A 13390-nucleotide genomic window follows, 5' to 3' on the forward strand; every position below is an offset into this window, starting at 1 on the left:
ATTCTCCTAATAACCATTTCAAACTCATCTCTCCTCAAACCCCAAAAGCCTCTCCACAATTCTGTTTTAGCTAAGAACAGTAATTCCTATTTTACTGAGAAAATGAATCACAAGAGAACTTCCACAGATTCTCACTGCCATATCTCTACCTACCAACATCCATACCCATATATTCCGCCTTCCTGTCTGTTACTATACTCTTACTTTATCTAAACCCAGGCCCCTCAACCAGTGCACCAAAGATGGCATTCAGTAAATATTTGTTGAATTGAATCAAGTCTGTTTCCAACCCACTTGGCAAATTCTTGAAAAGCCTAGATTGACTTGACATCCAGAAGGCCTCTAAGTATAACTGTCTGGGGAAGAGCTATTTATTGTCATTTAAGCAGTCAACAAATATCTAATAAGCATTACTATTTAAGAGGTATTTTGCTTGTCACTACGAATTCAAAGTCCATAAGGAAACTGCAGGAGTTCTATGTTCAAAGTAAAGTAAGAGAAAGAAATCTAGTACTTGTATATTAAAAAAACAAACAAAATTTATGATTACTATTATTTTAACAGATGGGGTCCTGCTTTATCTCTCAGGCTATTCACAGGCATAATAAAACAGTGCACTGCAGCCTTGAATTCCTGGCCTCAAAATGTCCTCCCGCCTGAGTCTCCTGAGTAGCTGGGACTATATGTGTGTGCCACTGTACCCAGTTCCAAATTTTTAAAAAACAGGTTACCCAGCTCATAACTTTCTTACAGTTGTTTCCCACATTTGCATAAAGATCAGAGATACTATATATTCATCCTAAATGAGAGGAAACATTTGACCCTGAATTTTCAGTGAGGACTAGAGAAGGCCCTAAACTTTGCAAAAATATTTGTTCTCTAATTTGCAATTTTAAGCTACTAGTTAATTTGCTACTGTTGCCTTTTGGATATACAGGGTTGAAAAGACCCCTGAAACTAGGATTCAGTAATTTACTTTGTGTTTATACACTTAAAGTATGTGCTCATCTCAGGCAATATCAGACTATACATTAAAATATATAATGAGGCCTGGGCTGTGGCTCACACCTGTAGTCCCAGCATTTTGGGAGGCCGAGGTGGGCAGACCACTTGAGGTCAGGAGTTTGTGACCAGGCTGGCCAACAAGGAAAAACCGTGTCTCTACTAAACATACAAAAATTAGCCAGGTGTGGTTCAGGCACCTGTCATCCTACCTACTCAGGAGGCTGAGACAGGAGAATTGCTTGAACCCAGGAGGCGGAGGTTGCGGTGAGCCGAGACTGCACCACTGCACTCCATTCTGGGTGACAGAGCAAGACTCCGTCTCATAAATAAATAAAATAAAAAAAAATATATATATATAATGAAATATACACACCAAATACACCACAATCTCTGTATCTCTTATATCCTGTGCTGTATCACTAGAAATTACTTTAAATCACTGGGGACTCTAACACTCTTCTATTATTTTAAGAACAACACAACAAGATAAAATCATTCTCAAGCAGAGTCATGTTGTATACTGCATACAGCAGCTTAGAAAGTCAAATGTTTTATATAAATCCAAAGAGCCAAGAAGATAATAATAATAAGTATATAATAGAAAGTGTCTAATGAGAAAGTAGTTTCAAAGAGCAGAAGCAATTGAAGAATTAGCTTTCTTTTAAATATAAACATTTTAGTTGACATTATCCAAAGTCCAAAGTCTAAGAATAGACCAATTTATAGTAGGTATCTTTGTTTCTGTTTTGTCTTTTTTGAGATAGGCTCTAGCTCTGTCACCCAGGCTGGAGTGTGGTGGTGCAATCTCAGTTCACTGCAACCCTTGCCTTTGAGGCATAATAAAACAGTGCACTGCAGCCTTGAATTCCTGGCCTCAAAAGGTCTTCCCGCCTGAGCCTCCTGAGAAGCTGGGACTGTATGTGTGTGCCACTGGCTCTCAGGATCAAGTGATCCTCCCACCTCAGCCTTCCAAGTAGCTGTTGCCTGGCTACACGCTAGGCACATGCTACCATACATGGCTAACTCGTATTTTTTGGTAGAGACGGGGTTTTGCTGTGTTGCCCAGGCTACTCTCAAACTCCTGGGCTCAAGTGATCCACCCTCCTTGGCCTCCCCAAGTGCTGGGATTACAGGTATGAGCCACCATGCCCAACCTAATTGTTTTTTATTTTTTATTTTTAATACAGACAAGGTCTCGCTATGTTACCCAGGATGGTCTTGATTGAACTCCTGGCCTCAAGCTATCCCCTCCTACCTCGGCCTCCCAAAGAGTTGGGATTAGAGGTGTGAGCCACCATGTATGGCTTTTTTACATTTCAAATAAGAGAAATTGGGTAACTTCAAGGATGCAAATATTACCCAGGAAAATCCTATGATCTTACTTTTTGTGTGTGAAATAATTCTTTTTCTAAGTGAATGCAAATTAATGGGATAGTTCATTGAAATTACTCTACTAAAAAATCCTTATCTGAGCTCCCAAAGCCTTAATTATTAACTATTTCAAAGTACTGTCTCTTTATCTTATTAATCTGACCCAGTATTTAAATATACTTCATTTGAGAAGCTCCTTCCTATTTCTAGACTAAATTTTTCTTACTATAATAAATCAACAAGGCCAGCTGAATTCATCTGGCCTTAAGTGCAAAAATGACTTCCGTGAAAAAAATACGGTGAAATTAGACAATATTCAACATGTACAACACAATATTTTATTGTATTTTGAGACAGGGTCTCACTCTGTCACCCAGGCTTGAGTGCAGTGGCACAATCACAGCTCACCGCAACCTCGGCTGCCTGAGCTCAAGTGATTCTCCCACCTCAGCCTCCCAAGTAGCTGGGACCACAGGCATGCGCCTCCACATCCAGCTAATTTTTTTTAGCTATTATTTGTAGAGACAGGGTTTTGCCATGTTGCTCAGGCTGGTCTGGAACTCCTGGGCTCAAGGGATGCCCCTGCCTGGGCCTCCCAAAGTGCTGAGATTACAAGTGTGAGCACTGCACCTGGCCCCAATATTTTATTATAGCTATAGACCTTTCTAGTTATTGCTACCTTAGACACAAGAAAAAAAAAAAAACTCACTTAAAACATTAAAGTCTATTACCTCTGTAGTTTTGCATTTTAGAAAGTACTATTTTAACTCTACTTAAGTATAACAGTAATTGACAAACGCATAAGCTATATAGTAAATCTTACTAATACTCTATAATGATTAAATCATTATATTGACCGAATATCTTATTTCTAAACAACATTTTGGATAAATCACCCACCTCATTTCTCATGATTCTCCAAAGATTTAGTGTAATTCGGCCAACAATATTTATCTCACTCATTGTATATGATCCATACTCATCTCTTTCAGCTGCAAATCTGTTCTCAATTTTGTCATCTATAGAAATGAAAACAGACTGTATCAGGGCTCACAGAAAACAAACTTTCAATAAAATTATGCCAGGGAAAATGAGAATATACATTAAGGATGAATATTAAAGATGAAATATAATTCACAATGTATGAAAAAATTTTGTGAAATAAATATAACCTGAAGTCTCTCCCTCCCTCCTTCTTTCTATATTTAAATAAGAAACACTTTTTTCTTTAGATTTGGTAATTTTTGGCACTACCTTTTTTTGTTTGTTTTTTATGTTGCCCAGGTTGAGTGCAGTGGCTAGCCACAGGTGCAATCATAGCACACTACAGCCTCAAACTCCTGGTCACAAGCAATCCGCCTGCCTCAGCTGCTCGAATAGCTGGGACTACAGGTGCCTGATGCTACCTTTATAAACACCTAATGCTAACATTTCTTTGGTCTTAGCATGAGAAAGATCCACAGTTAATCTGGTAATTTCTTGGAAAAAAAACTAGTTCAATTTTTAACCTAAACGATTCTCTGAAAATTTGTTGACATCATGTTCACATTCAGGATGAAATTCTCTTGAATGCATATGGAGAACTAGATGAAGAGTTCCTCATAGCAAATAGCGTTGTGAGTCTAGTTTCTTAGGAGATGAAGTTTACCTAGAATATAAATTAAAATGCGTCTCTCCTATGTAACACTAGGTATATGTGAATGTTGATGATTAGAGGTTCCAGAATAATAAAAATATTTACCATATTGAAGGTTTATTATGTTCTAAGAATTTTACCAACATCATTTATTTTAATACAAACATTACTTCCTTTATTTTAACAGGACCATTTAAGAAGTTAGTATAATTTTCATTTTGTATTACGGAAAATTCTACTCAGAAATGTTATATCTTGCCCAAGATCTTACAGTAAGAAAACTAGTATTCTAAACTAGGATTACCTGAATCCAAAGACCATGTACAACCACTCACCCAATTCTTTTTATTTTAAAGAGATAATGTTTAAAAGTTTGTTTTTCATTTAGCAAACAATGTAACATATACTCTGGTGATTGTTTTAAGTTCTTCAAAATAACCCTATGAAATAAGTTCTATTATCCCTATTTTACAGATGAATAAACTGAGACAAGGATATTTAAAACCTATCCCAAAAAAGATATTGAAAAAAAAAAAAGATATACCACTATTGCTATCATGCAAAGGACACACAAGCTACACAAAAATTCATGGAATGAAAAGCTAAACTTAAAGCATCTCTGCCCCCCATTCCCTTTTTATAAGACAGAGTCTTGTTCTATTGCCCAAGCTTGGGTGCAGTGGTGTGATCATAGCTCACTGCAGCCTTGAACTCCTGGGTTCAAGCAATCATCTCACCTCAGTCTCCTGAGTAGCTGGGACTACAGGCACAAGCTATCACACCTGGCTAATTTTCTTTCTTTTTTTTTTTTTTTTGGTAGAAATGGGGTCTCACTTTGTTGCCTGGGATAGTTTTGAACTCCAGGGCTCAAGCAAGCCTCCCACCTTGGCCTCCCAAAGATGGGATTACAGGTGTGAGCCACTGCACCTGATCTTTTTATTCCAATTTTTTGCAAAGCTAAAAAACTTTACTGTCCTGGAATCTTCCAGCTTCAACTTTTCCTAAAGTATACACTACTTTGTTTTAGTTAGACTTGTGGGAACCCTTGGGAACAAATTTATTAAAAATCCTATGTTTATAAAGAAAACATAGTTTTAAAAAGTGCATTATAAACTACAAATAATTTTGGTATGAATATTATTATTCCCTTCTAGTTAGAATGAAACTTTGGGGAATGGACTTCAAAATTTCTGCAATATTTGTAGCCTGATATCCAAATAAAAATCAATGATTAGTTAACTACTAGTGTTCCTCAACCCATCCTGTCCTTCTTAACCAACAAAATGGATTAAAAAAAACAGAGGCAGACAAACAATAAAATTATGGTACAACAAGTCAAAGAAATGCTATGTAGCTTCATAATAATTATGAAGACTATTTCATAATGCAGAAAAATATGTGTGGTAAGACACTAGATGAAGGAAGCATAATAAAAATGGAATATACGGTATGATTATTTAAAAACCACTACATATGTATATGAAAAGTGACTGAAAGGAAAAAACCCAACAACTATACTAACAGTACATATAGCAGTGAGACTAGAATATTTTTTATTTTATTTTTAATTTTTTCTACAATGGAGTTATGCTATATCTAAAACTTACACAACTTAGTACTAAAAAATTGGGCTACAGCATAAGTACTCTTTAACATTCTGTCTTTATTTCCTTTATAATTTGCTCTGTAGTTGAATGACAAAACATTCACAATGACACATACCTGGCACCCGAGAGATCATCCGACATAAGTCAATACTTAAAGCGGCAGCCCTTTGTAAGAGGTAACCCCAGGAATGCATCTGAATCTCATATCCTAGCAGAATATCAGGATCATACCTAAAAAAGGAATTTAAAAAAGTTATATAAGTACCATACATTTGAACCTTTAACCAGAATAATTGTTTCTTCATGATATAAGGTATGAAAACAAAAACCTATGTTCTCTAACGGTGCCCAGATGGAGAAGGGATGATACAGTGGTACCTACAGAGTTTTTATACAGGAAGAGATGGATGGTTAAGAGTACTTGATTTGAAGCTACTTTGTTTCTTTCTTTCTTTTTTTTTTTTGAGATGGGGTCTCACTCTGTTGTCCAGGCTGGATTGCAGTGGCATGATGTTAGCTCACTGCAACCTCTGCTTCCCAGGTTCAAACGATTCTCCTGCCTCAGCCTCCTGAGTAGCTGGGATTACAGGTGCCCCACACCACGCCCGGCTAATTTTTTGTATTTTTAGTAGAGATGAGGTTTCACCATGTTGGTCAGGTTGGTCTCAGACTACTGACTTCCAGTGATCTGCCTGCCTCAGCCTCCCAAAGTGCTGGGATTATAGGCGATTTGACGCTATTTTTGTAAAGTAAACATAATTTTTACTTAGACTGTGTATTTGTTTGATACAAGTGGGAAAAGAGGCTGATGGAAATTGGGGTGGAAGGCAGGCCATTACCACTGAAGTATATGAGTGAAGGTACAAGTGAGAATATAATGTGGGCAGGGGAAGGTGAAGTGTGAGGGTGTGTGTGGGTATGGTATTTTGAAAAAGATCCCTAGGTCATTGTGTTGCCACTTATCTACCCTTCTAATCTATACTGCCCTTAAACAGTTTTAATGCTGAGAAAGAAAAATGAGAATGCTTTCCTTTTCTCACTTAATTTTAGTAATTATTTGGTTCTCACACAAAATAAGGCCTAAGTAATGACAAGTTTGTCCTTTAAATTTAAAAGGATGGTGATTCAACTTAATGGAAGAATGAAATATTAATAGAGGTGGGATTAAGGTGGGGAAGGTAAACATCAGAATCTAGAAGAAAAATGTGCTCCTCGTGGTCAGAGCTTCACTGGCAAAACTGAACCGACCACCTGCGTCCAATCCAGAAGGAGCCTCTTTGTGGCTCCTCTTAGAACCTCCATGTTGTGACCACCATAGAGAAATGTTTAGCTATAAATATGAAAATTTATTTCGAGTGGAAAATTGTGTGGGAGAGAGCGGAACTAATTATAGTTATAAGTTTTGAGAGCAAAAACTACAGTAAGTAGCTCTATCAATTAGTAGCATTATCTTGTTCTTTATAAATGCCAAAAGGCCAAGTGAAATATCACAAAAATTTAAATCGTTGAGTTTTACATAACTACTCATGAAACACTAAATTGTGAGATGTGCAGCCTGTCCAATTTACAGCATTTAATACCCTAAGCCTCAGCCAATGTCTACAGTACTAGACTAATTTACTGATATAAGCTATCTATGGCTACTCTGCAAGTCTGGCATAACAATGGATCATGACCAGATCACCAGATCTGCTTTTAGAACCAATATGTTAATATTTTATCATAATTCCATAGCTGTCTTCTAAAAATGGGTATTGAATGGCTTTCGTTTTTACCTAGTCAATAAAAATTGGAATGTCACAATAAATGTTTTCTGATTTTTAATTCTGGAGTATTTCAGTGGCTGATGTCAAAAGAACTGGGTTCAAACTTCTGCAACAGCACACTTTTAAATTTTCCTATTCCCTAAAGGCCCTATGAAAGTACATTCTGTAGTATAAATTTTAATATCTGGTGATCTGTTCATGATCCATTGTTATACCACAGACTTGCTGAGCAGCCTTCAAACTTGTTAGGAGAAAAAGATAATAAACATATTATTTATGTGCTTTTCTCTATACAAATAGGGTTGACATTTCTGAGAAAATGGCTTAATTTAATAAACAGCTATTGAAGCAAAGCAATAAGCAACAATGGCATGAATATCCAGAAAGGAAGTCCAGAAAGATCCCAGGGCACTCAAGGAAAGAGAAATATCCCAATACTCTTTCTGTTTAGTCTTCCAACATAACACCCAAACCCTTAACCAAATCCTTGATACTGACTTCATCTCTTTCATTAAACTCTTCTTAGTCCAAAGACAGACTATCTACTTGTCCAGTATATCTCCCTTTAAAACTAACTGTGTAATGAATGGCTACATTTGAGAATTGGGGCACAAGTATTAAGTGGCTCTAAGGATCATCAGGGGTCGCAGACTTGAAGCATTCTCATACAAACACAACAGAACCCACACAGTTGTCTGCTAAGTACTCAGAGTGGCTCAGAATAGGCATTACAGTGTGGCCACAGTTGACCTTGATCTTAAGAATCGGGAAGATTCCTGGAGTTCCTATCACATAGTTACCTATCACATATCACATAGTTACACAGCTACAACATGAAGAGGATGCCAGATGATTACACAGGCCTTCTGTTTTAAATGTTATAAAGACAGTTCTTCTAATTTCTTCATCTGAATCTTTCTCATTTATGCAACATCTTGTTATTGCAAGACTTATTCCAGTCAGCTATTTGTTCTGTTGTGGCAACTAAGGGAGTTGGCTACGTACACTTTTTTTAAAAAAAATAATGTATTGAAAATAACTTCGTCTCAGATAAAAAGCTGTCTATTTTTATAAACTGCTACAGCTCAGAAATGACTGCTGAAAAAAGTTACCCTGCGCTTCTCAGATTTATTTCACAGATTTTGTCCCTTTAGAAGAATTGTAAAGTTGTTTCAGGCATTTTTTCAGATATATTACATATATATTTATTTTTTGACCCGGAGGATGTTTAGTCTGGAGGATGTAAGAGACTCTTTTAAAGCTGATAAAACACCTGTTTTCAAGTTCAAAAGCCAAAGGATTCCATTTTTCCTCTCTAAAAACATTTGGAGACAATAACAAGGTCTTGATGACTTGTTCTTCAATTTCTAGTGGGTTTTATTCATTCTATCAGGTTTCTGAAAGTTACAGAAAGAATAAAGTTGGGTAGATGGGATTAGTGGTGAAAACAACCCAAAACTGTGGATAAAATAGAAGCAGAAGAAATAGGTAAATGGTTCCATTTGCTTAGGCAGAAAAAAGCTGCTTCACAGTTAGTATTTTAAGTAACTCACTACCATCTACACACATGACAGATAAGGGTACTCTAGTAGAGGCAAGGGGCACGGAGGGGAAGGAATCATCTTGAAAAAGAATTCTGAGGTTAAATGGATATGATGTAATATAAATGTAATAGCATTTAGGGAAGAGGAAAAGGGAAGAATCATAGTTATATTTAAGTTAGGGAGACTGCGCAAAGTGAAGTTAATAGTCCAAGGAAATACAGAAAGAGGAAAATGATTGTGACAAGATTATAGATGAGGTTTTACTTGTTTAATATCACTTTATATTACTTTTCGTGTTTGTCACTTGAGGAAGTCAATATTAAAAATGGAAAAATAAAGATATATTTATTTTTATATTAGTACCTAGCACTGCCCCTTACACACAGTTAACATTTATGTACTCACTATGTGCCAGACCTGAGTTTAAGAGTTTTATGTGTATTATCTACCCATTTTACAGATTAGGAAAACAAAGCTGAGAGAGTTAAGCAACTTATTCAAGACAGAAACACAGTGCTGGCTGACTCCAAAGGCTGTGCTGAGTAGGTACACAACAAATAGGGTGAAAGAATGAAATAATCAATCTTTTTGCAGAGTTGTTTGGACTAATATATAAAGAACACTATAGAATTGAAAAGTTGACATTTAAGCATTTTTCTTTTTATGACAGTTTTGTTTACCCCATTTTCCTTAATTACTAGTACATTTCATTTTATGGACATTTAAGAAAGTTATTATACTTGCAAATGACTAACAAAATTCTCAATGTTGGCAGGTAATCCTATCATTGGGAATATACCCAACAAGGAAAAGGCAAGCATACAAGCCCAGGGACATTACTGGACATGTGCTGGTACACAAAATAGTATTGACTGAAACTCTTACATATTTCTTTCTCTGAGTTGCTTGCAGAAATAAAAGAAGTGTGGATACTGAAAGCATCTGACATGTTGATGACAACCTCTGTGAGAAGATAAAAGGTAGGACTGACAATGACAAGACTCAAATAGATGGGAATCTATCTAGTCACCAGTGCTATAAATAGTAAAAATACTTTTTTTCCTTCAGAGTCGTGGGTAGTAGCATACTATTTTTGATGCTCTGTCATTTAATTTTGTTTTGTAGAAAACACATGTTTTGGTTTTCTAATTCTCAGAATGGTTTATGTTAACCCATCTGGGATTCAATCTGATGACAAGTCTGTAGAATATCATCTTAATTTTTCATGTAGAATACTGATTTAGTTTTTATAGGATGAAGTTCAACTATATAAGCAAAACAAAAAAGGGTGAGTATAACAACATGCTCATGGACAGCTTTTATCTGTATATCAGGATCCAAAGAATGTCTTCTATCTTGCTTTAGGCATCTAAAACCCTAAACCTAGCAATGGGCAGAATCCTTAAGTTTCTACAAAGTGAAGCATTTAATAAGAGAGTCCATGGCTACCAAGAGCTACACTGTTGAGAAAATGCAAATTATCCACTTAATGATTTTATTTTTAAATTAAAATATTTTTGTTAAAAATTTTTTTTCATAAACTTGGACAAGATTCTACTATCGGACTGAGGACCGACTACCAAATGGTCAAAAGAGATTTTTTAAGGAGCTCTGTGCACAAGAGTATGTAATAGATAATCCTACATTTATGAACAGATAAATTTATACAGAGAATGCATCCCAAAGCTTTTTGAAAATATTGGCTTGTTTAGAACTCAGAAAACTTTAAAAAAGAAAAAACAAACCAAAAAAAGGTACTGAAATGGTGGCTGGCTCCCAAGGTAGAAACCTAGTTAATGAATAATACAATGGAACTTTATACAGTTCTCCATTATTTCAGCACCACAGAAAAACCAACCTCAAGTACAACTGGGAAGTTAGTTAGAGGCTAAACAAATATTTGTCTTTCACTGGCCCCTCAATCTTGAGAACAGAACACTGCTTTTCCTATCCCTTGTCTGATGAAAATAGTGATGGTGGTGGGAAGTGAGTATAAAATCTTCCCAAGAGTAACTCTGCTTTCAAGGGTCATAGGAAGGGATTCGCTTTCTTCCTACCTTTACTTTTATCTTCACTATTATCTGCAATAGCATGAAACGACTCTCTGAATAAAACTGGAAAAATCAGATATACAAAACAATACCTCTTTATTATATTTGCAATTTCATGAAAAAGTGCCTTCTCATCAGCAGCATAGGTGACTTCGAGTCCTGTAATTCCAGATCTAATAAGTAATGGAGTCTGATATCTGATATCTAAAAAACAAACAAAATGTCTATTATATATAACATTATATAATAATATACCTTCATAATATAAAAGTAATATTATCCTCTACTTTTAAGTAAAATTGTACTACTGAAATATTTCAAATTAAGAAAACATCTCCCCAAGTGAAAACATAACTAACTCAATGTCTTTAAAAAACTCTCAAAAGATTTTTTAGTTTAATATACAACTGAAAATTCAAATTTTGTATTTTCAGCTATTCTCCTGAAAAGGCTGCATTCATAAAATTCCCTAGAAAATAACATATCACTGGCTGGGTGCAGTGGCTCACGCCTGTAATCCCAGCACTTTGGGAGGCCGAGGCAGGCGGATCACGAGGTCAGGAGATCAAGACCATCCTGGTTAACATGGTGAAACCCCGTCTCTACTAAAAAATACAAAGAATTAGCTGGGCATGGTGGCGGGCACCTGTAGTCCCAGCTACTCGGGAGGCTGAGGCAGGAGAATGGCGTGAATCCGGGAGGCAGAGCTTGCAGTGAGCGGAGATCGCACCACTGCACTCCAACCTGGGCAACAGAGCGAGACTCTGTCTCAAAAAAAAAAAGAAAATAACATATCTCTTGTGAAGAAACTGTATTACTTTGTTTCTGTCTTTACTCTTCCTAGCAGGAGAGCTTTGCTTAGCACAGGACATTTTAATCTCTGGTATGATGAAAATGCTTAACCACCACTTCTGCAGGAAAAAAAAGAAAGCCTTAATTTGTAGTGCTGGCCTATTTCATGATGTAAGGACCCCTCCCCCACCCTATGACTGATTTCCAACTGCCAAAGTGACAGCAACTAGTTTGAAAAATTCATGAAAATCCAAGAACTGGCTTGTGAGCTGGTATGTGTCAGCTCAAGCACATCACTGAATAAATTGCAAATTCTTAATATGGTTGTATTCTGTGCTAAGACTTCCTCCTCAGTGGACTGAATTCACTTGTAATGGTGACCACTGAAAGCTGCAGAGGGACAGTAGGTATTTTATAAAATGCCTTATATGGCATTCTATATGAAGAACCTCTGAACCAAAAGTATATTATTTAGAAAGAAAGATAAAGAGATATAAGCAAAGTAAGAATATATCTTAAAAGTATCTTATAAACCATTAACTTATAGTGGTAAGATAAACCCTCTATCAGCAGGAAAATACCTGCATATGCATACATAAGGAAGACTGTGCACCTAATCTAGGGATACATAATAAGGTGGACTCTGTATTAGTAGTAAGTATTTTTATAAAATAATACTTAGAACAAATTATATAAGATAATTATAAATATTAAGATCTTTATATTGCATTGCTTCTGACTTAAAAAATGAATAAATAAATGGGGTCTTGCTATGTTACCCAGGCTGGAATGCAGTGGCTATTTACAGGCACAATCATAGTGCACTACAGCCCCAAACTCCTGGGCTCGAGCAATCCTGTTGCCCAGCCTCCCAGGTAGCTGGGACTATATATAAGCAGGCACCACTGTGCCTGGCTGCTTCTGACTAATCCAAGTAAGAATAATAAATCTAGGACAAAGTTATACACAATCTCCTACCCCTACCTCAGCAAACATTTTAGAAAAGAGTCATCATGCTTGCTTAGATTAGATCTTCAGCACAGGAATTCCCCATTAAAACATTCACCCTAGAGTGGGCAGGTATATCATTAATAAAAATGGACAATACCTTGACTGAAAACTGTCTTGTCTTTATCAATCACTATTACACCTGTGAGTTCTGTTTTTTCTGTATCTGGCAGTGGAGTGTCAGATGAGATGCAGTAGAACAGAGCACAGATTGGGTCAAATTCAGGATCCGGTTCTAAGTCTCGTCTAGTTCGAGCATGCAACTCCACACTGATTAGGGTAAGATTTTGTATCTATAAAAGCAAATAAATACTATGTTTTTAAAACATTTTTTAAAGACATGCTCAAAGAAGTATGTAAGGCTCTAGGGAAATATGTATGTAAGATTACAGAAAAAATGGACATAAAGGACAAAGTCACAGCTCAGCAGCACTCCATATATTAAAACGAAAGATTTTTAATCCCAAGATTAGATTAAATCAATTCATGATGTTATTTCAGAAAATCTGCTCTCAATGACAATATTTAGACTATTTTTCTCAAATATATGCAGGATCTCTCAATGCCTGTTTGAGAAAGAGAATGACTAGTCCAAGTAGTTATACAATGA

General features: G+C 36.2%; 1 protein-coding gene and 1 pseudogene across 15 annotated transcripts in view; one reads left to right on the forward strand and one right to left on the reverse strand.

The window, feature by feature from the left end:
- The window catches only part of REV3L (REV3 like, DNA directed polymerase zeta catalytic subunit), a 184679-nt gene that overhangs the window by 46909 nt on the left and 124380 nt on the right, over positions 1-13390 (reverse strand). For 7 of the 15 annotated variants that reach the window (NM_002912.5, NM_001286432.2, NM_001286431.2 and 4 more), the window contains 4 exons: positions 12881-13073; positions 11073-11184; positions 5735-5850; positions 3277-3395 (listed from right to left, as the gene is read on the reverse strand). In NM_002912.5, the coding sequence (NP_002903.3) occupies positions 3277-3395; positions 5735-5850; positions 11073-11184; positions 12881-13073 (540 nt within the window). Of the gene's footprint in view, positions 1-3276; positions 3396-5734; positions 5851-9814; positions 9893-11072; positions 11185-12880; positions 13074-13390 lie in introns of those variants that run through there. The other 8 variants (XM_011536029.4, XM_011536028.3, XM_011536032.3 and 5 more) reach the window with 3 other exon arrangements.
- On the forward strand, positions 7761-8242 carry FCF1P5 (FCF1 pseudogene 5; annotated as a pseudogene).

The sequence above is a fragment of the Homo sapiens genome, chromosome 6 (genome assembly GCF_000001405.40).
Source record: "Homo sapiens chromosome 6, GRCh38.p14 Primary Assembly".
Classification (NCBI taxonomy): Eukaryota; Metazoa; Chordata; class Mammalia; order Primates; family Hominidae; genus Homo; species Homo sapiens.